Here is a 26259-nt window from a genome sequence, read left to right as displayed (position 1 = left end):
CAAGGATGATGGACCAATCAGGGCAGTTAGTGAACTCCATCTGGCCAATTAGAAGTCAGAACAGTAGGCGGAACAAGCGAAGCGGATGTGGCTTCTATCAGTCCCGGCTCCAGGGACGGAACCTTCTCAAAGTGGGGGTGGAGACTCTAATTTTCCCGCCTAAAGCATCCCCTGGGATTGGCTACTTTAAGTTCAGAGTACGCATGCTCTGACTTTCTCTCTCTTTCGATTCTTCCATACTCAGAGTACGCACGGTCTGATTTTCTCTTTGGATTCTTCCAAAATCAGAGTAAGCATACGCCGATTTTCTTTTTCCATTCTTCCTACCCCTCCCCTCCTCCGCGGTGCATTTGCTATCTAGTTTTAATAAGGAGTGTATATGAGGCAGGCCGCCATCTCGAATCTTTCCTGTCAGTTTCTAACTTTTTCAGGTACGGGATTTTTCCTAGGAACTCTGTAGTAACTTAAGAAATTTGGGCCGGGCGTGGTGGCTTACACTTGTAATCCCTGCACTTTTGGAAGCCACAGCTGGTGGATCGCCTGAACCTAAGAGGCGGAGGTTGCAGTGAGCCATGATCACGCCAGTGCACTCCCGACTGGGCAACAGAGCGAGACCCTGTCTGAAAAAACAAAAACCAAAAAAGCTCACTCAAATCTTTCCTCCTGGGCTCAAGTGAGCCTCTCGCCTAGGCCTTGGGGCTACAGGCGCGCACCACCCCGCTTCTGCTAAATTTTGTTTGTTTTTTTTAGTAGAGATGGTTTTGCTACGTTTGCGAGCCTGGTCTCAAGCTCCTGGGCTAAGGCGATCCGCCCACCTTGGCCTTCCAAAGTGCTGGGATGGTACAGGCCTGCTCCACCAACCCCAGCTAACTTTTTGTGTATTTTGTAGACGGGGGTTTTGCTGTGTTTCCCAGCCGGGTCTCGACCTCCTGGGCTCAAGCGGCCTGCACGCCTCGGCCTCCCAAAGTGCTGGGATTACAGGCGTGAGCCACGGCGCCTGGCTGATTGCTGCATCTTGAAATGCCCCACATTCTCTCTAAGTGATGGCGGGCTCTTGTAGTCTCAGAAATTCTAGCTCTCTTCCTTCTAATAATTTACAAATCACCGAGTAATAGCCTCTGAACACGTTCATATTAGCGATGCTCATTTCTCTTCAACAGAACAGAACCCCCCATCCCTCTGCCTGATCAGATCCATCGCCAAAGAGACCATGTTATCTCTGGGACTAACTTCCCTTCCTTTATTTATTGAGTGGGGGTGTCAGCATGCCCCCACTGAATAAAATTACACAGTCATGTCCCTGCCTCCCCAAAAAGGGTCCGTACATCTTTCAGGGTAAGCCTAGCTCCAGGGAAACTACTAACAACATTAGCCAACCCCCTCCCAAAGACTCAAGGCTGCTTTGCCCATAGGAAACCTGTCATTCCCTATCAATACTTCTCCCAGAGACCCCTGGTTCCCTGTTTTCATCTGATTTCTCCCCATATCCTTACTCAGGGACAGATAAGCCCCGGATGGAGAAATGCAGCAGCTGATTCCAGGTGACTGAGGGTGGCCGGCCTTCACTGACTTCTCCCTCCACAGGATCAAAGCTGCTGTGGCTGGAAAGACTCAGGCTATTTCTCTTGCAGGTCAGACTGCTCCCGGTGCCATGAACGGAGACGACGCCTTTGCAAGGAGACCCACGGTTGGTGCTCAAATACCAGAGAAGATCCAAAAGGTGAGGTGACCTGGAGGGAGCAGAGTAGTGGCCCAGGGGACAGTGTGGGGTGACCCGGTTTCTGAGGAGGGGAGGACAGAGATACTGGAGACAAGGAGCAGGGTCTCGGGGGAGATCTGGACCCTTGGGAGCCTCCCACCCTCGCTCTGTCATCACCTAGCATCCCTGGAGACAAGTCTGTGACCTTGCACTACATCTGGTGACTCTCAGTCCATTCTGGAAGGTGGGAAGAGAGCCAGCCAGCAGCATTAAAGCCCTACTGTGTGGCAGGGGTGAAGCTAGGGAAGGTCCCTCGTGTTCTGTCAGTTAGCCATGGCATCAACCAGGAAGGATTATCATCCCCAGTTCCCAGATCTAGCACACAGGAAGCGGCTCCAGCTGAATGGCAGACATGCCTAGCTGAGTCCCTGCCATAATTCCTTTTTTTTTTTTTTGTAGGCCTTCGATGATATTGCCAAATACTTCTCTAAGGAAGAGTGGGAAAAGATGAAAGCCTCGGAGAAAATCTTCTATGTGTATATGAAGAGAAAGTATGAGGCTATGACTAAACTAGGTAACAGAAAGTTCTGGGAACAGACAAGTCTGGGGACACATGAGCATCCCTTTTCCTGCTTTGGCTACTTCTTAGGCTGCAGAAAGTACCTCACATTTTCCTTTTGTGCAGGGAAAAATCGCAAGGCAGCTTCTGGGTGTTCTGCTCTTCTGTATCCTGTCAGGGCTGAGGGCAGGGACTGGCCACAGTGGAGCTTATACCTGGATCCTGCACGTTTCTCTCCCTTAGGCTTCTGTTCTGATGAGCCCAACTGTCTCTGTGGCATCCCGGCAACCCCCCTACCCCCACCCCACACACACCCACCCTACCTTCTCTCGGCTTGTCTCTTCCTTTTTTTTTTTTTTTTTTGAGTCAGTCTCAGTCTGTCACCTAGGCTAGAGGGCAGTAGTGCAATCATAGCTTACTGCAGCCTTGAATTCCTGGCCTCAAGCAATTCTCCAGCCTTAGCCTCCCAAAGTGTTGGTACTACAGACATGAGCCACCATACCAGGCCCAAGCTTGTCTCTTAAGGAATAAACATTTTGCTTCTTTCTAGGTTTCAAGGCCACCCTCCCACCTTTCATGTGTAATAAACGGGCCGAAGACTTCCAGGGGAATGATTTGGATAATGACCCTAACCGTGGGAATCAGGGTGAGTAGATGGGAAGGGGCTGGAAAGGGTCTCCTCAAGCCCAGCTGCTTTTCAGCTCAGCTACCTGAGAAAGATCCTCAGGCATTTGTTCCCTCATACACATCAGGGCTGAGTGAAAAAAAAAAAAAAAATTGCATGCAGAAAGTTAACTACAGAGGCCATTCATATAAAATTTTAAAACATGCAAAAGAAGAATATATATTTTATGGATAATAAGTAAATGGTAAATGTATACAAACATGAATGTGAATAAAAAGCCATCAAATTAAGGTGACTGGCTGTAAGTGGAGGAGGGAGGGAGGGCGGGCAGGGATTACTGAGTGCGGCACAGACAGCTTCAGCTGTGACTTGTTGATAGTGTGTTTTGTTTGTTTTTGTTTTTGAGATGGAGTTTCACTCTTCTCGGCCAGGGTAGAGTGCAATAAGGCAATCTCAGCTCACTCCAACTTTCACCTCCTGGGTTCAAGTGATTCTCCTGCCTCAGCCTCCCGAGTAGCTGGGGTTACAGGCACGTGCCCCCACACCCAGCTCATTTTTTAATTTATGGTAGAGACGGGGTTTCACCATGTTGGCCAGGCTGGTCTCAAACTTCCTGACCTCAGGTGATCCACCCGCCTCAGCCTTCCAAAGTGCTGGGATTACAACTGTGAGCTACCACGCCCGGCCTATTTGCAGTTTTTCTAATATTCTGAATAAATAAATCAGACCTAACATAGCTGTGGGGTAATGTTGAGATCCGACTGGACTCAATATTATTCCCCATACTTTTCTGTGTGTTTGAAATATTTCTTTTTTAAACGACATGTTGTTCTTCCTAAGCACCGTTAATGAATCAAAGGACTGCTAAAAAAATGCTACAAGTGAAAAAAAAAAAAGAAAGAAAGAAAGAAAGTGTTAAAACTGTAGATCCGCCAAAAACTTCCAGAGTTTGTTTCATTAACAGCATGTAGGTATTGGATAGGTATCTTAGGAGTGAGGGTGATGAACACATTATGTAATAAAGATCGCTGTTTCTCTGTATTGGTTTATCAAAACCAAATAGTCTTCTCATTCCCAAAGAACCCTGATTCTCCGTAATGAGCTTGGAAGAGAGTTTGAAGGAGTGATCCCTTATCCAACACACAGAGAGCTTTCCCACTTGTCAGAGAGCAGAGATAACATAGGGTGAAAAAAAGATAGGTTCTTGGGTAGAGAGCTTTGTACATTTCAGGAATATAAAGGGGACATATGTATTTACTTGCTCTTCTACTCTGACAACATAATTATAAGACAAGGTCAGAATGTCCAAACCGTCTCCAATAGACCTATTACTCGCCAACTAAACAGGCCAGATTCTACAATCTCCCGCAATCACTATAAGAGACCTGAAAAGCCAGTGCTTGAGTATCTGCCAAGTTTTGACAGTAAAGGAGTGTCTTTATACTGAAAATATTTCAGAGCCACTGGACCAAATCATCCATGGTTCATCACACATTTAACAGCTTAATTCACATACCATAAGATTCACCCATTTGAAGTGTACAATGATTTTCAGTTGTTGCACATCTTGAGTGGATACAGTTCAGATTCCTAACCAATCAATTTAATTATTTGGGAAAAAGTAAAAGATATGTAATGGAATAAGATGAGACTGTGATGGGGTGTAGTCCCCATGTGATAAACCATGAGATGGAAAATTCTGAATTGATGCCACAGATAAATGCACCAACCATGACTAAACATAATTCAGAAGCAAATCTGAAATAACTCCTCAACAATGAGTGGACTCATAACCCTCTGCTGCAGAATACCCTGATGCGACAGAAGTCTCTCTAGAGTTTGGAAACCTTTACCAACAAAGAAAAATTCTGATGTATTCTCTTTCAGTTGAACGTCCTCAGATGACTTTCGGCAGGCTCCAGGGAATCTCCCCGAAGGTGAGTGTCTCTCAGATCTAAAGGACCAGAGAACCTTTGTCCCTCCACGGATGCGAACACTGGTAAGAGTGGGAGAATATCAAAAATGCCCTCACTGCCTTCTTCTCCCCATGTCTATCACAACACCTGATGTCGCACCGACGGCTTGATAGTACCAACAGTTGCGATTGTTAATACTTCTTTTGTTTTCATAGTGATGCCAGATACTATTTCAAGCAGTTCACATGGATTAATTTATTTAATCCTTAAGAAGACATTGTTTCTATTATCTCCAAATAATAATGAGTCACACACTTCAGTTTTCATCCATATGAAAGCCATGTGACTTGACACAAATCTTCTAAGTTCTCTGAGCTCCAGATTCCTGGTCCATGAAATGGAAGTAAAGAATTATAGTTCATGTTTTAGATCATAGTTATCAGCAACATAATAATAAAATGAGGCTATCGTGGTACAGAGATGTTAAAGAATTTTCCTGGGGCGCAGTGGCAGTGGTAGTCTAATCCAGAGCTCCAAGCCATTTAAAGCTCATTCACATTTGCATTTGTCTATGAAGTTCAGATGTTGCTCACTAGGGCTTCACCCCATAGGGCCTGCTGGTGCTTCCAATGAGACACCCACTCTCTCAACAGGAAGGACCATCTGGTCTCTGCTGTGTTGCTGGGGCCACTTGCATGGCTTAGGAATCACTTTGATTGTTGGCCCCTCCCTACTGTGAGCTCCTTGAGTGCCTTGTCTGCACCTGGGGCATCTGGGAAGGCCCAGTCCCAGCCCAGGGGATCCCTCGGAGGCCCCTGAATGAGTGATCCCACAAGTGCAGATTCAACTCTGGTTTGGAGGGTAAAGGGATCTGGGAGTTGGGTTGCCAGTGTGGAGACTGAATTCAAAGAAGGATTGTGAAAGGTATTAATTGTTATTATTACGACATTTAAACAGTGTTTACAAGCTCAGAGAGGACTTTACTGTAGGCTATTTGACATGTATGGTTCACTATTTCATAAGGGAGGAAGCTGAATGAAAAGTAGCTTAAGAGCCGGGCGCGGTGGCTCACGACTGTAATCCCAGCACTTTGGGAGGCTGAGGCGGGCAGATCACGAGGTCAAGAGATCGAGACCATCCTGCCCAACATGGTGAAACCGTGTCTCTACTAAAAATACAAAACTTAGCGGGGCGTGGTAGTGCCTGCCTGTAGTCCCAGATACTCTGGAGGCTAAGGAAGGAGAATCGCTTAAACGCGGGAGTCGGATGTTGCCTTGAGCCGATATCATGCCACGGCACCCCAGTCTGGCGACACAGTGAGACTCCGTCTCAAAAAAAAAAAAAAAAAAAAAAAAAAAGAAAGAAAGAAAGAAAAAAAAAAGTAGCTTAAGATTGTTGGTCAGTGACACATCCCAATGCAACCAGAATTGGTATGGGTACCACCTCACTGAATTCCACATTGAATGTCGGTGCCCCAGTAGGGTAGTATGTCATATCTGGTACTGCTTTGTTTGCTGCCTAGATTAATTTCGGCAAACCATTTCTTTCCCTCTCCCTTCCCTGTATTCATCTCCCCACACCATCTTTCCCAGCAGTGTTTTGTCGCCTCCCTATGTTTTTACATTTACTCTCCCAGCAGCTGTCTAGAAGCTTATATGGGATCCCTTGTATTTTACAGAACCTCTTCCCTTTGTAGACCTTGTGAATTCTTAGAATGCTACTCTTCTCCAAATCATCTGTATATCACACTCTCAATTACATGGAGATTTTTGCTGTTTGCAAGAATGTCAGTCCTAAAAGAGTGGGAAGATAAGCATTCTATCCCTGGAAACCATATTCACTTAGGCCATTCCTTTCCCTTCTAACCTCCCCTCCCAGGTTTCTCCTAATTTAGGCCTGTGTAACTCTCCCAGTGTTGTTGAGAACATTGAATAAGCTAATGCATGTGAAGACCCTTTGTAAGCTCAAAAGCACTATAGATATGTCACTGATACTATTTATCTGTGATCTTCACATTATAAAGATCATGCCCAAGAAGCCAGCAGAGGAAGGAAATGATTCGGAGGAAGTGCCAGAAGCATCTGGCCCACAAAATGATGGGAAAGAGCTGTGCCCCCCGGGAAAACCAACTACCTCTGAGAAGATTCACGAGAGATCTGGTAAGAGGAAGCAATTCAGGAACAATCCCTCTGGCTTCCCTGGCGATGTTCAGGTATATGGACTGGGTGTGTGGCATGGATCCCAGATAACCCTGGGTCCAGACTGGGCTGAGGAGCTCGCCCAGCTCCAGATGAGATGTTAGACATGACTTCCAGAGATAGACTTGATTTGTCACCCATAGAAAAAACCATGTGACTTGGGGCAAGTCTTTCAGATTTTCTCAGCTCCAGATTCCTAGTCCGTAAGATGGAAATAAGGAATCATAGTTCATAAATTGTTTGGAGACATTAAATTTAATCTAGAAGGCCTGATGACATGAAAGGTGCTCAAGCAATTCTATCTGTGATTACCTGGGATCATTACCTGATTAAGACTCAGCTCAATGCCATGCCTGTTACCCAATACAGGTGTACTTCAGAGATACTGCAGGTTCAGTTCCAGACCACTGCAATAAAGTGAGTCACACACGTTGTTTTTTGGTTTGGCAGCGCATAAAAACATTATGTTTATACTATAGTGTAGTCTACTAAGTGTGCGATAGCGTTGTGTCTAAAAATGTATATACCTTAATTTAAAAATAATTCTTTGTTAAAAATGCTAACAATCTTCTGAGCCTTCAGTGAGTCACACTCTTTTTGCTGGTGGAGGGTCTTGCCTCGGTGTTGATGGCTGCTGGCTGATCAAGGTGGTGGTTGCTGAAGGGTGGAGTGGCTGTGGCAGTTTCTTAAAAGAACACAACAGTGAAATTTGCCACATCGATTAGCTCTCCGTTTCATGAAGGATTTCTCTGTAGTATGTGATGCTATTGGATAGCATTTTACCCACAGTAGAACTTCTTTCAAAGTTGAAATCAATCCTCTCTAGCTATGAAAGTCCTAGAAGGCATCTCCTTCCAATAGAAGGCTATTTTATCTACATTGAAAATCTGTTGTTTCATGTAGCCACCTTCAACAGTGATCTTAGCTAGATCTTCTGGATAACTTGCTGCAGCTTCTCCATCAGGGTTTGCTGCTTCACCTTGCACTTTTATGTTATGGAAACGGCTTCATTCCTTAAACCTCATGAACCAACCTCTGCTAGCTTCACATGTTTCTCCTGCAGCTTCTTCACCTCTCTCAGCATTCATGGACTTGAAGAGAGTTCTGGTCTTGCTCTGAATTAGACTTTGGCTTAAGGGAATGTTGTGACTGGTTTCGTCTTCTATCCTGACCACTCAGACTTCCTCTATTTGAGCAGTAAGGCAGTTTTGCTTTCTTATTCGTGTGTTCACTGGAGTATTAGTATTATTATTTCCTTCAAGAACTTTTCCTTTGCATTCACAGCTTGGCTGTTTGGCGCAATAGGCCTAGCTTTCAGCCTGTCTTGGCTTTCAGCATGCTTCCTCACTAAGCTTAGCCATTTCTAGCTTGTGATTTAGAGTGAGAGACATGCGACTCTTCCTTTCATTTGAACACTTAGCGGCCATTGTAAGGTTGTTAATAATCCTCATTTCAGTATTGCTGTGTCTCAGGAAATAGGGAGGCCCAAGAAAAGGAAGAGAGACGCGGAACAGCTCATCGGTGGAGCAGTCAGAACACACACAACATTGGTCGATTCAGTTTGTCAACTTCTATGGGTGCAGTTCATGGTACCCCCAAAACAATTACACACAACAGGGTGATTATAGTCAATAATAACTTAATTGTACATTAAAAAAAAAACTAAAAGTGTAAATGGATTGTTTGTAACACAAGGATAAATGCTTGAGGATGGATACCCTATTTTCCATGATGTGATTATTACCCATTGCATGCCTGTATCAAAGCATCTCATGTACCCCATAAGAATATACACCTGCTGCGTACCCACAAAATAAAGAACAAAAATTATTTTAAAACACTAAAAAACAATAAAATCAATTGCAGTAATAATATCAAAGCTCACCGATCACAGATCACTATAGCAGATATAATAATAATGGAAAAGTGTAAAATTGGTGAGAATTAAAAAAAAAAATTGCAGCATCTGCGAAGCAGTATGAACATGAGGTGCAACAAAACAAGGTACGCCTGTGTGGCCTTAACAAATACGTGCTGGATGAAAGGAGGTATGGGGGAATGTTCCCGTAAGTGAAGAGGTTGGGAATCTAAGCCTGAGAAGGGAAGGAGCCAGAAGCTAAAACTTTAATTGGCATTTGGCCTATGTTGGTGTGGATCTAAGGTCTCAGCCTCTCTAAGCCAGAGAATGTGAAAAACTGGATGAAGAAGGCCCATGGGCACTTGGGAGGAAGCAGGCATCTCCTTTTTTTGAGTAAACAGAGCCTAACACTCTCCAACCTACCCAACCCTCACTTTCCAACTATTCTCCATCACAGGACCCAAAAGGGGGGAACATGCCTGGACCCACAGACTGCGTGAGAGAAAACAGCTGGTGATTTATGAAGAGATCAGCGACCCTGAGGAAGATGACGAGTAACTCCGTAAGAGAACCTTCCACTCATCCCCCACATCCCTGCAGACGTGCTATTCTGTTATGATACTGGTATCCCATCTGTCACTTGCTCCCCAAATCATTCCCTTCTTACAATTTTCTACTGTACAGCATTGAGGCTGAACGATGAGAGATTTCCCATGCTCTTTCTACTCCCTGCCCTGTATATATCCGGGGATCCTCCCTACCCAGGATGCTGTGGGGTCCCAAACCCCAAGTAAGCCCTGATATGCGGGCCACACCTTTCTCTAGCCTAGGAATTGATAACCCAGGCGAGGAAGTCACTGTGGCATGAACAGATGGTTCACTTCGAGGAACCGTGGAAGGCGTGTGCAGGTCCTGAGATAGGGCAGAATCGGAGTGTGCAGGGTCTGCAGGTCAGGAGGAGTTGAGATTGCGTTGCCACGTGGTGGGAACTCACTGCCACTTATTTCCTTCTCTCTTCTTGCCTCAGCCTCAGGGATACGACACATGCCCATGATGAGAAGCAGAACGTGGTGACCTTTCACGAACATGGGCATGGCTGCGGACCCCTCGTCATCAGGTGCATAGCAAGTGAAAGCAAGTGTTCACAACAGTGAAAAGTTGAGCGTCATTTTTCTTAGTGTGCCAAGAGTTCGATGTTAGCGTTTACGTTGTATTTTCTTACACTGTGTCATTCTGTTAGATACTAACATTTTCATTGATGAGCAAGACATACTTAATGCATATTTTGGTTTGTGTATCCATGCACCTACCTTAGAAAACAAGTATTGTCGGTTACCTCTGCATGGAACAGCATTACCCTCCTCTCTCCCCAGATGTGACTACTGAGGGCAGTTCTGAGTGTTTAATTTCAGATTTTTTCCTCTGCATTTACACACACACGCACACAAACCACACCACACACACACACACACACACACACACACACACACACACACACCAAGTACCAGTATAAGCATCTGCCATCTGCTTTTCCCATTGCCATGCGTCCTGGTCAAGCTCCCCTCACTCTGTTTCCTGGTCAGCATGTACTCCCCTCATCCGATTCCCCTGTAGCAGTCACTGACAGTTAATAAACCTTTGCAAACGTTCCCCAGTTGTTTGCTCGTGCCATTATTGTGCACACAGCTCTGTGCACGTGTGTGCATATTTCTTTAGGAAAGATTCTTAGAAGTGGAATTGCTGTGTCAAAGGAGTCATTTATTCAACAAAACACTAATGAGTGCGTCCTCGTGCTGAGCGCTGTTCTAGGTGCTGGAGCGACGTCAGGGAACAAGGCAGACAGGAGTTCCTGACCCCCGTTCTAGAGGAGGATGTTTCCAGTTGTTGGGTTTTGTTTGTTTGTTTCTTCTAGAGATGGTGGTCTTGCTCTGTCCAGGCTAGAGTGCAGTGGCATGATCATAGCTCAGTGCAGCCTTGAACTCCTGGGCTCAAGCAATCCTCCGTCCTCAGCCTCCAGAGAAGCTGTGACTACAGGCGTGCACCATCATGATCCACTAAGTTTTTTAAGGTTTTGTCAAGAAAGTCTCTCTATGTTACCCAGGCTGGACTTAAACTCCTGGGCCAAAGCAATCCTCCCACCTTGGTCTCCTAAAGTGTTGGGATTACAGGCGTGAGCCGCAGCACCTGTCCTCCAGTTTTTATTTTGATACAGACTATACACTTCAGTCCTGGAGCAGGATTCTGTAGCAGGTGGTTGGGCATCTTGGCCTTTGCTCTCTGAATGATTTTCGGTTTCAAGGTCTGGGACGGTCCATTTGGGTGGATGTGGGAGGAGACACAGATGAAATCGTCATCTGGGGAACGTGGAAGAATAAGGCAGATGCGTGCAATGTAGACCCTGTGATGGACAGGGAATAGAAGAGTCCACTTAGTCTCCATGCAGGGGAGCAATTGGTGGGAAAGTCTCCTGGACAGAAGCATGAGAGCGCCCATCAAGGGTCTCACCAACCAAAGGCCTGGGGGCTGGGGTGGGGATGATGATTTGGGAATGGGACAGTTCTTTCTCACAGGTACCATTGCACGGTACAGAGGTGAAACAGTTGTGGGGAAGGGAAGGGCAGAGGGGAGTCTATTTTAGAACAAACCATTGCGTGTCAATGGAGACATCAAAGCTCCATTCACACACAATGGACTTGAAACACCAGCCCCAGGTGGAGGCAGGATTGGAGCTGTTTTGCCCGTTCGTGGCCCATCACCTTGGCCTCCTGGTTCTCCCCAGCCTTCGAAGGAGGACACTATCATCATTATGCCAATATAATAGATGAGAGACGGAGTCCCAGAGAGATGGTAGGTGTCTTGTCAGAGGTCCTACAGCTGGCAGGTGCAGGAGGGGCTGAGTTTGGAGCTCACTGACTTCAGAAACTTTAAGGAGGACAGGTGTGTGTGGTGGAGGGAGGGGGAATTGAACAAGCCCCGGGCTCTGTCCCCAATCAAAATGTAAAGGCTGTGGGTTCATTTACCGAAGACAAGGAGCCCTAGGAGAGAGAGAGTGCAGGGAGGGAGAGGCAGTTGTGGTCACAGCAGGGACAGTGGGAGACAGAGATACGAAGGGTGGGCAGAAGAGGGGCAGGCAAAGAAGCAGGGGAGACAAAGCCACATGTGGGCTGTCACAGCCACCAGAGGGAGAGGGTGCCTGGAAGGAGATTGTGGAGCTCCAGGAGCAACAGAGGTTCCCCAGATCTGTGAGCATGCCCTGCCTGGCAGTGCAGGAAGAGATGGCTGCCACCCAGGTCAGTGTGGACGTACCTCTACCTGTGTCTCAGAGGGAACAAATTCTATTTTATCCCAATATAGTTCTGTATTACACAAATGTAACATTCGGCTACTAGATATTGAGTGCCATGTCCTCCATGCAAATAGAGGAGAGGATACCCTAAAAGAGATACCGAAGCATTTGATTTTTCTTTCTCCCTGGGACAATGGGATCCATAAGTTGGGTCCCCCAGCCCACAAGACAGGTGCAACGTAGTGTGGCAGGAAGATTGTGAGTTATGACAGGGAACATTTTTCCTTAGGTTACATGGGTATATAAAGCTCCGGACTATCTGTCTATCATGGATAGATAAAGAGTGAACATGGTCCCTTCTCCACAAATGTGTTTCTCTCCTTGATTATTACTGTAAAGGGCTGAAGTTACACCAAGTCCTGATACATTACTTTTTCGTGGTTTTTTGTTTTTGTTTTTTTGTTTGTTTGTTTGTTTGTTTGTTTTTTTGAGACAGTATCGCAGTCTGTCGCTGAGTCTGGAGTGCAGTGATGCAAGTACAGCTCACTGCAGCCTGGATCTCCCAGGCTCAAGGGATTCTCCCACTTCAGCTTCTGATCTAGCTGGAACTACAGGCACACGCCACCACACCCAGCTAGTTTTTGTATTTTTTTATAGAGACGGCATCCACTATGTTGCCCAGGCTGGTCTGGATCCCCTGGCCTCAGGCAATCCTCCTGCCTCAGCCTCCCAAAGTGCTGGGATGACAAGTGTGAGCCACCTCGCCAGGCCTTCACTTTCTTTAATGAACAATTATCAGAGTTTCATCTTAGAGGCAAAAGTGGCTACTGCCAGCCAATCTGTCTGTGGTGTTGGAGGGGAATCTGGCTGATTCAGATGTTTCTAATGAACTTTTTATTTTCATTATACTTTAAGTTTTAGGGTACATGTGCCCAACGTGCAGGTTTGTTACATATGTATACATGTGCCATGTTGGTGTGCTGCACCCATTAACTCGTCATTTACCATGAGGTATATCTCCTAATGCTATCCCTCCCCCCTCCCCCCACCCCACAACAGGCCCCGGTGTGTGACGTTCCCCTTCCTGTGTCCATGTGTTCTCATTGTTCAATTCCCGCCTATGAGTGACAACATGTGGTGTTTGGTTTTTTGTCCTTGCGATAGTTTGCTGAGAATGATGGTTTCCAGCTTCATCCATGTCCCTGCAAAGGACGTGAACTCATCGTTTTTGATGGCTGCATAGTATTCCATGGTGTATATGTGCCACATTTTCTTAATCCAGTCTATCATTGTTGGACATTTGGGTTGGTTCCTCTAATGAACTTTTAAATTAACCTACATGATGTGATTATCCTAAGGCCCTTTCCAGCTCCGTGTTTTTTTTGATTCAGGGTTTGGAGATTTTCAGAGGCTTTGTTACAAAGAGAATCTCCTGGGTGGGCGCGGTGACCCACTCTGTAATATCAGCACTTTGGGAAGCCGAGGCAGGCAGATCACTTGAGGTCAGGAGTTTGAGACCAGCCTGGCCAACAGGGTGCAACCCCCGTCTCTACTAAAAATACAAAAATTAGCCGGTAGTGGTGGCAGGCCTCTGTGAATTCCAATTACTGCGGGGAGTGAGGCGGGAGAATCCCTTGAACCTGAGAGACGGAGGGTGCAGTGAGCCGAGATCACGCCACTGCACTCCAGCCTGGGCAACAGAGTAAGTCTGTCTCACAGAGTAAGTCTGTCTCAAAAAGCAAACAGCATCTCTTTACTACAGTGATTTGAGCTGTGGTCTTGTCTCCTCGGGTTTCTCTATCAGTCTGATCCCATCTACTCTATCTCCCAGGAATGCCTCAATATTTCTGGCGGACCACTGACACGTTTTCTTATTTTCCTCTACTGTTAAGAGTTGACCCTTGAAAACATTTTCTTCTCAGTTCAATGGAATGTTGATTGAGTGGGGCACGGGATCTGTCTGCCATCTTGCTCCAATCATCTGGTTTTAGATATTTTATGTACTTTTGTCACTATGAAAGTGTAATTTTTCTCAATTTGGTTTTCTAAATGGTTATTATCGGTATGTAGTAAACCTATCTATGATTGTATATAATATTTTGTTACCTGTCTGGGTGCAGCTTCCCCTGCATTTTGGCACAAGACTCAACTTGTTTTATTCTCCAAAGTAAATGTGACAGGCCGGGTACGGTGGCTCACGCCTGTAATCCCAGCACTTTGGGAGACTGAGGCAGGTGGAACACCTGAGGTCAGGAGTTCGAGACCAGCCTGGCCAAGATGGTGAACCCCCTTCTCTACTAAACACACAAATGAAAAAATTAGCCAGGCATTGGTGTTGCATGCCTGTAGTGCCAGCTACCAGGGCAGCTGAGGAGGGAGGATTACATAAACTCAGGAGGCAGAGATTGCAGTGAGCCGAGATCGGGCCACTGCACTCCAGCCCGGGCGACAGAGACTCTGTCTCTAAATAAAAAAGAAAAAGAAATAAAAAGAAAATTCACTTCACAGGCAGTAGATATCCCACAGGCACGAACTCCCCTACACTTCTAGATTGCATCACCCGCCCCTTTGGCAGCTGTCTGGGAAGCCAGATCCCACACTTGGAAGTGTAGTGTTTCATACAATCCAAAAGTGGTAGCAGAGGCCAGGCGTGGTGGCTCACACCTGTAATCCCAGCACTTTGGGAGGCCAAGGCAGGCGGATCATGAGGTCAGGAGTTGGAGATCAGCCTGGCCAGAATGGAGAAACCCCGTCTCTACTAAAAATAACAGCAATTAGTTGGGCATGGTGGTACACGCCTGTAATCCCAGCTACTCGGGAGGCTGAGGTAGGAGAATCGCTTGAATCTGGGAGGCAGAGGTTTCAATGAGCTGAGATCACACCACTGCACTCCAGCCTGGGCAACAGAGGGCGACTCCGCCTAAAAAAAAAAAAAAAAAAAAAAGCAAAACAAACAAACAATAAAAAGTGGTAGCAGAAATCAGAAAGTCCAGATATGTAGGTAATTGGCCTGGCTGTATGGCAGCAGCCAAGGGTGAACACTAAATGCTCCCAGGCAAGTCCTAAGTTCATCAGGTAACTGGAGTACCCATCTGTGTTAGTTAATTGCCTTTATCTGAAGGAAAAATAAAACTCATGTCTCTACGACAACCAGCTGCTTACAGCTTAGAGCAAGGCATCTAGGCTAAACTCCCCTGGTGACAGGGAGACAAGGACATCATCTTCCTCAGTGTTCACATTTCGAAGAGATGGCGCCAAGGCCCTGAAGAAAGACATTTCGGGGGCAGGGCGTGGTGGCTCACGCCTGTAAGACCAACACTTTGGGAGGCTGAGGCTGGAGGATCACTTGAGGCCTGGAGTTCAAGTTCAAGACATTCCTGGGTTCTAGGATGGCCAGAGGCTTACAGATCAAAGGAAGAATTTACAAATACAAATTTTCTCAAGGAAATGCTCTAAGGAAAGTGAAATGGAGACAGGTTTCTTCTTCCCTCTTGGCAACAGGAAAAATTCAGTTTTATGTTTAGTTACCCTTACAATTTCCCCCTTTTGTTAATTGTTTTATAGGAACACTACAATTTTCTAATTATCTCCACTGCTGTTTCTATCTTTCTCTGCGTAGTTTACAGCCACCTAGATATCCAACAAGTCCATAGTAAGATGCAAAGCAAAGCAGTTATCAAGATTGTAATAGAATGATTTTTTTTTTCGGGATGGAGTTTCGCTCTTGTTGCCCAGGCTGGAGTGCAATGGTGCGATGTCGGCTCACTGTAACCTCTGTCTCCTAAGTTCAAGTGATTCTCCCGCCTCAGCCTCCCGAGTAGCTGGGATTACAGGCATGTGCCACCACGCCCAGCTAATTTGGTATTTTTTTAGAGATGGGATTTCACCATTTTAGCCAGGCTGGTCTTCAACTCCTCACCCTAGGTGATCCACCCACCTCGGCTTCCCAAAGTGTTAGGATTACAGATGTGAGCCACCATGCCCTGCCTAGAAAGAATTTTTAAATTCAGTATAATACTCACCCTGTCAGGGGGTGGGGCAACCTTTAAGCACATCATACTGGTTAATTGTGTCAAAGTCAAAATAAATTATAGAGACAAATCCCTAAATCAAATGCTGTATTTGGGAATCACAAAATTGCAATTCAGGGCATACACACAGACTAGGGTGGTCTTCAGTATGTCCAACGAGCAAACAGAAGTTGGAAGCTTTATTAGAAAGAAAAATGTTACATATTGTTTTGAAATGAGGCTCATTGGCCCTGGAGAAGCTGGTTCATTCGCACAATCAGCTTTCACATTCCCTCTTTTGATCAACATCTTTCTTTCAAAACCTCACCGATCAGCCATCTTAAAGTGAGGCTTCATTGTCACTCCATGCCAGGATGGACCTGTGCCGGTTGTCTTTATCCCATGCCAAGGGAAAGGTAAGGGAGTCTAGATCAGGGACATGGGCCATATTTGAGCAACAAAGAGGACAGAAGGAAAAAAAATTTCAGGCAGGTTTGCCTGGAGTTCAGCATCAAGTTCCATCTTGTTAGTCGCATCTATATTAGCAAACATCTTGACGCACTGGGCTAACATTATTTTCTTGGGAGAACTGGCTTAACAAATATTAGGCAACAAGTATGGAGCTCAAAGATCATAATTCTAAAATAATTAGCAATTGTTTATTTTATTTTATTTATTTTATTATTTTACTTTATTTTATTTTATTTTATTGCAATGGATTCTTGCTCTGTCGCCCAGGCTGAAGTGCAGTGGCGTGATCCCGGCTCACTGTAACCTACATCTCCCGGGTTCAAGCGATTCTCCTGCCTCAGCCTCCCCAGTAGCTGGGATTACAGGTGCCCATCAACATGACTGGCTTATTTTTGTCTTTTCAGTAGAGATGGGGTTTCACCATGTTGGCCAGGCTGGTCTCGAACTCCTGACCTCAAATGATCCCCCCTCCTTGGCATCCCAAAGTGCTGGGATTACAGGCGTGAGCCACCACACCCAGCTATAATTAGCAACAGTAGAATAAATTTAGTTTGTACAATGGTTTTGAACCAAGATCCCAAGCCTAAGGGCCACCAGCTAAACAAATCAAAAAGCTATGGGGGAATTGAATGAGACCTCTTGTAGTCTTTGAGTAGCATTTGAGGACTGGGTCGAATTAAAGCAGAGTGCCAACTCTAAAGGGACCACTAGGTGAGGTAAAGGATTTGGGCGTCGGGTTCTGTCAAGTGAAAAATGTAGACATTCAGGGGGTAAGAGTCTCATTACGATATGAAGACTTATTCTGACGTCTTGGGAAAAGCTGTCTATAGTGTGGAAACGTCAACTTCTCATCCTGATTTGTCGTTCGAATGTCTCCGGTTATGGCATTGGACAGTTTGGTGAACTTTTTGTGTGGTCCATACATCAGGCAGCAGACTTGTTCCTTAAAATGTATGCACTGTTATCTTACAGAACTTGTAGATCAAAAATAAAATCCTATCCCCCGCCAACCCGCAACCATTTGAATGGACTTCTTCCTCAGCCAGGGCTCTTTTAAAATTTAACCTGAGAGATGGTTTCAGGCCATGACAGGAAGTGGGGGTCAGGCATGCCTCATTATACCTCTCTGGCATCAACATCAACACAGACTTTCAGTCTAATAAGAAACATGTTACAACCTAGTCTCTCTGAAGCCTAGTACCTGAAGGCTTCCTCTGCAAATAAGAACTTGGGTCTCCACAATCCTTTATCTTAACCCAGGCATTCCTTTCTGTTGATCCTAGGGTTTTGTTTTGAGATGGAGTCTCTCTCTGTCGCCCAGGCTGGAATGCAATGGGCGGGATCTTGGCTCACTGCAACCTTTGTCTCCCAGGTTCAAGCAATTCTTTTGCCTCCTGTAGCTGGGACCACAGGCGTGGGCCACGACACCCAGCTAATATTTTGTCCTTTTAGTAGAAAAGGGGTTTTGCCATGTCGCTCAGCCTGGTCTTGAACTCCTGGCCTCAAGTGATCTGTCCGCCTCGGCCTCCCAAGGTGCTGGGATTCCAGGCGTGAGCCAACACGCCCAGCCTACTGATTAGGTTTCTTCTTGCTTAGGAAAACTGAGCTTTGAAAGGGTAAGTTTTTAAGTCCATGTAACTTTCTGTATTGCTTTTGAAGTCTGTGGACTATCACTCTGGTTAAATGAGTGACTATTATTTCACAGTGACCCGTGATCCTGTTTTGCACAAGTGTTTTGAGCCTTTTAACATCTTTGACAAACTTCCCCAAAATGCAATTCTTTTTTAATTTATCTATTGCTGTTGAACAAACTAATCAAATTCTAATTTAAGTCTTTTTAACCTAAAATTGACTTTGAGATTTACCAGTGAGGCCCCTGGAGAGCCTCAAAGAATGTGTCTCTCATTAGGCTTATTTGATATGTCACATTATATGAAAAACAATGTCAGATAATAAAAAATACTAATTGGTGTTTACATTTATATAGATATATTATTGATGTTAATGTTCAGAAGATCATATAAAATTTACAGAGGTCTGATGGTCCTGGTGTGATGCTGTTAGTCATGATTCTGGTTGTTATCTTAAAATTCTCTCTATAATAGAAATAACTGAATTTCCTTGTCAATTATTGAACTTTCATCGGATTTTAATCGTTACTATTCTAAGCTTTATCATCTACAGTGCTGATTCTTCTCTAAAGGCATCCAGAATCAGATTCATAAAAAATATTTTAACAAGTACTGTTGAATATAGATTTGTAATAACTTTCAGATCAATGAACGAAATGAATTATTTTTGAAAACTCTAACGAAAACTGATGGGTTCATGCAACTGATTATCAAGATCAAGCAGAACAAACATTAATTATATGAGGCTAAATAACCAATAATGTTTTTGTGACCTTTATTTAAAACTTTATTTATTCTTGGGCTGGGTGCAGTGGCTCACACCTCTGATCCCAGCACTTTTGGAGGCTGGAACAGGAGGATCCCTTGAGTGCAGGAGTTCAAGACCAACCTGGGAAATATAGGAGACCTGGTTTCTGAAAGAAATTAAGAAAATAAAACTTTATTTGTTTTTTACCTAAATGTTTTGTTTTCCACATTTAAGAAAATTTTCTGGTGGGATGTGGTGGCTCACTTTGGAAGCCAAGGCAGGAGGATCGCTTGAGCCCAGGAGTTCCAGACCCGATTGGGCAACATGGCAAAACCCTGTCTCTACAAAAACAAAAACAAAAATAAGAAGATTAGCTGGGCATGGTGGCACGCACCTGTGGTCCCAGCTACTTGCAAGGCCGAGGTGGGAGGATCACTTGAGTCGGGACGCAGAGGTTGCAGGGAGCCGTGTTTGCACCACTGCACTCCAGCCTGGGCGACGGGGCGCAATCCTTTCTCAAAAAAATGAAAAAAAAAAGAGAAAATTTTCTCTGTTAAACTATCTATAGTTTATAATAATTTTGTGAAGTATACTTTTGTAAACTGAGATGGAAATGTTTGCTTTTTCTTACTACTCAATTCCTCCAGAATTTGAAAACTATTTGTAAATATTCCTATGGCAATATGGTTATTTACACAGGTCCAGTAAAAACCTGCTCTTGGTGCCTCATTCAACTCCAACATGGCAAAAGTCTCCAGCCCTACAGAGAGTCCCTGATTGCTATTTTCCAGAAATAGGCTGGAAAGGATGGTTACGATAGCATTCACTCCAAGATGGAGTTCCCAAGCTTCATGAATACAGAACTGGATGCCTTCATGAAGAACCAGAGGCCCCCAGTGTCTTTGACCACATGATGAAGAAACTGGACCTCACTAGTGATGGGCAGCTGGATTTCCAAGAATGTCTGCATCTGATGGATGGCATGACTGTGGCTTACCATGACTCTTTTCTCAAGGCTGCCCATTCCAAGAAGCGGATCTGAGGATCCCCTGGGCCTGGTTTCCAAGCCACCCCCTTTCCTTCCAGCCTCACCATCACCATCTCCTCACAGCCCACACGTACCCTGGGCCCAGCACACCCACCACCTCATGCAGGCCCTGCCTGCAGGTAGTAATAAAACCATTCCCGCCTCCGTGCCGCTCCACCGCTCCCCCTCCCCTGTCCCCTTCCTCCCCCTCCCCTCGCCCTTCTCCCCCCCTTTCCTCCCCTCCCCTCTCCTCTCCTCCGTTCCTCTTCTCTTCTCTCAAGTACACCCACCACCTCATGCAGGCCCTACCTGCAGGTAGTTATAAAACCATACTTCTTTTCTCTTTTCCATCTTTCCTTTTTTTTTTCTTTTTCTTTTTTTTTTTTTTTTTTTTTTTTTTTTTTTTTTTTAGCAATGGGGGTCTAGTTATGTTGCCCAGGTTGATCTTGAACTTCTGGGCTCAAGTGGCCTCCCAAAGCTCTGGGATTTTAGGTGTGAGCCATTGCACCTGACCCACCTTTTTTCTAAACACACACAAAAAAATCTGCTCTCTCTTTATAGACAGATACAATTAAAAACATTGGTTATAAGGCCGGGCATGGTGACTCACACCTGTAATCCCAGCACTTTGGGAGGCTGAGGTGGGTGGATCACCTGAGATCGGGAGTTTGAGACCAGCCTGGCCAACATGGGGAAACCACATCTCTACTAAAAATTATAAAGAAAAAATGTAGTAGGGCATGGTGGTGTACATGTGTAATCCTAGCTACTCAGGAGGCTGAAGCAGGAGAATTGCTTGAAACCAGGAGGTGGAGGCTGCAGCGAGCTGAGATCTCAGCAGTCTGGGTGACAGAGCAAGACTGTCTCAAAAAGAAAAAAAAATTGGTTATATTACCAAGGCTTTCATCAAAATGCATGGAATGCCTGACTTCAAGTGTTTTTAGCTTTAGAGTGGGTGAATAAAAACGGTCACTTTCTGTCAGGCCCAGGAACCTTAAGAAGGTAGGTGAAATCTAAAGTCGGCCTTGGTTTGACTTTCTATGCTCAAGAGGTTTTTAAATCTGAGATTCCTAAGTGATCAATGTATAGAGAAAAATTATGTTGCTAAAGAAAAGCTCTAATAGACCAGTTATTAGATTGTAGCTCTCTGCATTTTTTCGAGTTCTTGTGTTTTTTTTCTTTTTGTGTTGTTGTTGTTGTTTTTGAGACAGAGTCTCGCTCTGTCACCAGGCTGGAGTGCAGTGGCGGGATCTCGGCTCACTGCAACCTCTGCCTCCCGCATTCAAGCGATTCTCCTGCCTCAGCCTCCCGAGTAGCTGGGACTACAGGTGCATGCCACCACGCCCGGCTAATTTTTGTATTTTCAGTAGAGACGGTGTTTCACCATGTTGGCCAGGATGGTCTCAATCTCTTGACCGCGTGATCCGCCCGCCTCGGCCTCCCAAAGTGGTGGGAATACAGGCCTGAGCCACTGCGCCTGGCCGAGTTCTTGTTATCTACATACAGACTAGACTAGATCCAACTTTTTCCCATAAAATTACTAAAAACAGAAACTGCTCTGTTCCTGAAGCCTGCTGATGAAAAGAGTCAAACTCTGGAAAACACTTGAAGAGACTTATTCTGAGCCAAATAGGAGCGACCATGGCCCATGACACAGCCTCAGGAGGTCCTGAGTTGCCCAAGGAGGTTGGGGTGCAGCTTGGTTTTACAGATTTTATGGAGACTCAATCAAATACATTTAAGAAATACATTGGTTTGGTCCAGAAAGGCAGGACAACTCGAAGCAGGGGCTTCCAGCTTACAGGTAGATTAAAAAATTTTCTAGTTGACAATTGGTTGGGTTTTCTAAAAACCTAGGATCGGCCAGGCCTGGTGGCTCGTGCCTATAATCCCAGCACTTTGGGAGGCTGAGGCAGATGAATCACCTGAGGTGAGGAGATGGAGACCAGCCTGGCCAACATGGTGAAACCCCGTCTCTACTAAAAATACAAAAAAATTAGCTGGATGTGATGGCGGGTGCCTGTAACCCCAACTACTGGGTAGACTGAGACAGGAGAATTGCTTGAATCCGGGTGGCAGAGGTTACAGTTGGCAGAGAATGCACCATTATACTCCAGCCTGGGCAACAGATCTAGACTCTGTCTCAAAGCAAAAACAAACAAACAAACAAACAAACAAAAATGCCTAGGATCAACAGAAAGGAATGCCTGGGTTGAGATAAAGGATTGTGGTGACCCAAGTTCTTATTTGCAGAGGAAACCTTCAGGTACTAGACTTCAGAGAGACTAGGTTGTAACATGTTTCTTATGAGATTTAAGTCTGTGTTGATATTGATGCCAGAGAGGTATAATGAGGCATGTCTGACCCACAAGTCCTGTCATGGCCTAAAACAGTCTCCCAGCTTAATTTTAAAAGAGCTCTGGCTGAGGAGGACGTCCATTCAGATGGTTAAGGGTGGGGGTGCTTAGGATGCTATTTTTGGTTTACAAATACTCTAAGACAAAAACTGCATAATTTTTTTTTTTTTTGAGATGGAGTCTCACACTGTTGCCAAGGCTGGAGTGCAGTGGTGAGATCTCGGCTCACTGCAACCTCCGCTTCCCGGGTTCAAGAGATTCTCCTGCCCAAACCTCTCGAGTAGCTGGGACTACAGGCACGTGACAACATCCCCGGCTAATTTTTTGTATTTTTAGTAGAGGCGGGGTTTCACCGAGTTACCCAGGATGGTCTCTATCTCCTGACCTTGTGATCTGCCCACCTCAGCCTCCCAAAATGCTGGGATTACAGGCATGAACCACTGCACCTAGCCAAACTGCATACATTTTAAGGAACAAGTCTCGTGTCTGATGCATGGACCACACAAAAAGTTCACCAAACTGTCGAATGCCATAACCAGAGACATTCGAACGACAAATCAGGATGAGAAGCTGACGATTCCACATTGTAGACAGCTTTTCCCAAGATATCAGAATAAGTCTTCATATCATAATGAGACTCTTATCCCCTTAATGTCTACATTTTTCACTTGGCAGACCATGACTCCCAAATCCTTTGATTCACCTAGTGAATCCTTTTTATAGAGTGGTCCCTTTTATAGAGTTGGCACTCTGCTTTAATTCAACCCAGTCCTCAAATGCTACTCAAAGACTATAAGAGGTCTCATTCAATTCCCCCATAGTCTTTTGATTTGTTTAGCTGGTGGCCCTTAGGCTTGGGATCTTAGTTCAAAATCATTGTACAAACTAAATTTATTCTACTATTGCTAATTATAGCTGGGTGCGGTGGCTCGCGCCTACCGTCCCAGCACTTTGGGATGCCAAGGAGGGCGGATCACTTGAGGTCAGGAGTTCGAGACCAGCCTGGCCAACATGATGAAACCCCGTCTCTACTGAAAAGACAGAAATTAGCCGGGCGTGGTGGTGAGCACTTGTAATCCAAGCTACTCGAGAGGCTGAGGCAGGAGATTCGCTTGAACCCAGGAGGTGGAGGTTGCAGTGAGCCGGGATCACGCCACTGCACTCCAGCCTGGGTGACAGAGCAAGACCGCGTTGCAATAAAATAAAATAAAATAAAATAATAAAATAAAATAACGATAGCTAATTACTTTTGTATTATGATCTTTGAGCTCCATTCTTGTTGCCTGTCTAATATTTGTTAAGCCAGTTCTACCAACAGGAAAATGTTGGCCTAGTGCTTCAAGATGAATGCTAATATAGATGGGACTAACAAGATGGAATTTGATGCTGAACTCCAGACAAACCTGCCTGAATTTTTTTTTTTCCTTCTGGCCTCTTTGTGGCTCAAATATGGCCCATGTCCCTGATCTAGACTCCCTTACCTTTCCCTTGACATGGGACAAAGACAACCGGCCCACGTCCATCCTGGCATGGAGTGACAGTGAAGCCTCACTTTAAGATGGCTAATCAGTGAGGTTTTCAAACAAAGATGTTGATCAAAAGAGGGAATGTGAAAGCTGATTGTGCGAATGAACCAGCTTCTCCAGGGCCAATGAGCCTCATTTCAAAACAATATGTAACATTTTTCTTTCTAATAAAATTTCCAACTTCTGTTTGTTCGTTGGACACACTGAAGACCACCCTAGTCCTTGTATATGCCCTGGATTGCAATTTTGTGATTCCCAAATACAGCATTTGATTTAGGGATTTGTCTCTATAATTTATTTTGACTTTGACACAATTAACCAGTATGATGTGTTTAAAGGTCCCGCCGCCCAAACAAGGGGAGTATTATACTGAATTTAAGAATTCTTTCTAGGCAGGGCATGGTGGCTCACGTTTGTAATCCTAATACTTTGGGAGGCCGAGGTGGGCGGATCACCTGGGGTAAGGAGTTCAAGACCAGCCTGGCTAAAATGGTGAAACCGCATATCTACAAAAAATACCAAATTAGCTGGGCGTGGTGGCACATGCCTGTAATCCCAGCTACTCGGGAGGCTGAGGCAGGAGAATCGCTTGAACTCAGGAGACAGAGGTTGCAGTGAGCCGACATCGCACCACTGCACTCCAGCCTGGGCAACAAGAGCGAAACTCTGTCCTGAAAAAAAAAATCATTCTATTATAATCCTGATAATTGCTTTGCTTTGCATCTTACTATGGACTTGTTGGATATCTAGGTGGCTGTAAACCACACAGAGAAAGATAGAAACAGCAGTGGAGATAATTAGAAAATTGCAGTGTTCCTATAAAACAATAACAAAAGGGGGATATTGTAAGGGTAACTAAACATAAAATTGAATTTTTCCTGTTGCCAAAAGGGAAGAAGAGACCTTTCCCCATTTCACTTTCCTTAGAGCATTTTCTTGAGAAAATTTGTATTTGTAAATTCTTCCTTTGATCTGTAAGCCTCTGGCCATCCTAGAACCCAGGAATGTCTTGAACTTGAACTCCAGGCCTCAAGTGATCCTCCAGCCTCAGCCTCCCAAAGTGTTGGGATTACAGGCGTGAGCCACCACGCCCATCCCCTAGGAATGTCTTTCTTCAGGGCCTTGGAGCCATCTCTTTGAAATGTGAACATTGAGGAAGATGATGTCCTTGTCTCCCTGTCACCAGAGGAGTTTAGCCTAGGTGCCTCGCTCCAAGCTGTAAGCACCTGGTTGTCACAGAGACATGAGTTTTACTTTTCCTTCAGATAAAGGCAATTAACTAACACAGATGGGTACTCCAGTTACTCGGTGAACTTAGGACTTGCCTGGGAGTATTCAGTTTTCACCCTTGGCTGCTGCTTTACAACTAGGCAAAGTAGCTACATACCTGGACTTTCTGACTTCTGCTACCACTTTTGTGTTTGTTTGTTTGTTTGTTTGTTTTGTTTTGTTTTTGAGATTGAGTCTCGCTCTGTCCTCCAGGCTGGAGTATAATGGTGAGATCTCAGCTCAGTGCAACCTCTGCCTCTCGAGGTCAAGCGATTCTCCCACCTCTGCCTCCGGAGTATCTGGGATTACGGGTGCACGTCACCATGCCCAGCTAAATCTGTACTTTTAGTATAGACGGGGTTTCACCATGCTATCGAGGCTGGTCTCGAGCTCCTGACCTCACGATCTGCCTGCATCGGCCTCCCAAAGTGCTGGAATTACAGGCGTGAGCCACCACACCTGGCCTCTGCTACCACTTTTGGATTGTATGAAAAAACTACACTTCCAAGTGTGGGATCTGGCTTCCCAGACAGCTGCCAAGGGGGCAGATGATGCAATCTAGAAGTGTAGGGGAGCTCGTGCCTGTGGGATAAATTTTGACCGTTAAGAAAAGGAACCAGGAGTGAGAGCCAGGTATGTAAATTCCCTCTCCTCTCCTCTCCCCCTGCACCGTTCCAGGCATGGTTTCTCGGTATAGTCTGTCTAGAGGTGTCCGGAATGGCCCAAATTCTGTTTCCTTGGGAACCTGAGCTAAAACAATGGGCATGCAAACACTCGAAGAGAGTGCTAAGTGTTGTGGAGGACCTAGATCTGGGCAGAGGAAAATTATTGCAATAAGAAAATGGACAATTTGAGGATTTGGAATAGAGGGAAGGACTAGAAGAACCAGTAGTAGAATAGCTTAGGGGTAATAATTTTGGAGAAAAAGGCAGTTCTGGTGATTTTTGCTGTGAACTGCTCAGCTCTGTAAAATATACACTTCTTTCTTTCCATCAGTCTTCTCTATGAAATCTTCCATAAAGTATCCTTTTATAACTCTCTATTGCCTGTGAAGTGATTTTTCTTTTTTTCTTTTTCTT

General features: G+C 45.1%; 1 protein-coding gene and 1 pseudogene across 3 annotated transcripts; both read left to right on the top strand.

Annotated features, from left to right (window-relative positions):
* Positions 1-173: 173 nt before the first annotated feature.
* Positions 174-10505, top strand: SSX2 (SSX family member 2). 3 transcript variants are annotated; one of them, NM_001278697.2, is made up of 9 exons: positions 174-289; positions 1632-1720; positions 2159-2273; positions 2809-2904; positions 4771-4820; positions 6823-6958; positions 8470-8547; positions 9313-9417; positions 9883-10505. In NM_001278697.2, the coding sequence occupies exons 2-8, from the start codon at positions 1652-1654 to the stop codon at positions 9411-9413; spliced, it is 645 nt and encodes a 214-aa protein (NP_001265626.1). In that variant the 5' UTR covers positions 174-289; positions 1632-1651; the 3' UTR covers positions 9414-9417; positions 9883-10505. The 3 variants fall into 3 exon arrangements, with proteins under 3 accessions (NP_001265626.1, NP_003138.3, NP_783629.1); NM_003147.6 differs by having other exon boundaries at positions 8470-8615; NM_175698.4 differs by lacking the exon at positions 8470-8547 and having other exon boundaries at positions 223-289.
* Positions 10506-19742: 9237 nt separating this feature from the next.
* S100A11P10 (S100A11 pseudogene 10) lies at positions 19743-20105 on the top strand (annotated as a pseudogene).
* Positions 20106-26259: the final 6154 nt, after the last annotated feature.

Source organism: Homo sapiens, chromosome X (assembly GCF_000001405.40).
Source record: "Homo sapiens chromosome X, GRCh38.p14 Primary Assembly".
Classification (NCBI taxonomy): domain Eukaryota; kingdom Metazoa; phylum Chordata; class Mammalia; order Primates; family Hominidae; genus Homo; species Homo sapiens.
Note: the sequence above shows the minus strand (reverse complement) of the source record. Positions and strands in the feature narration are given on the sequence as shown.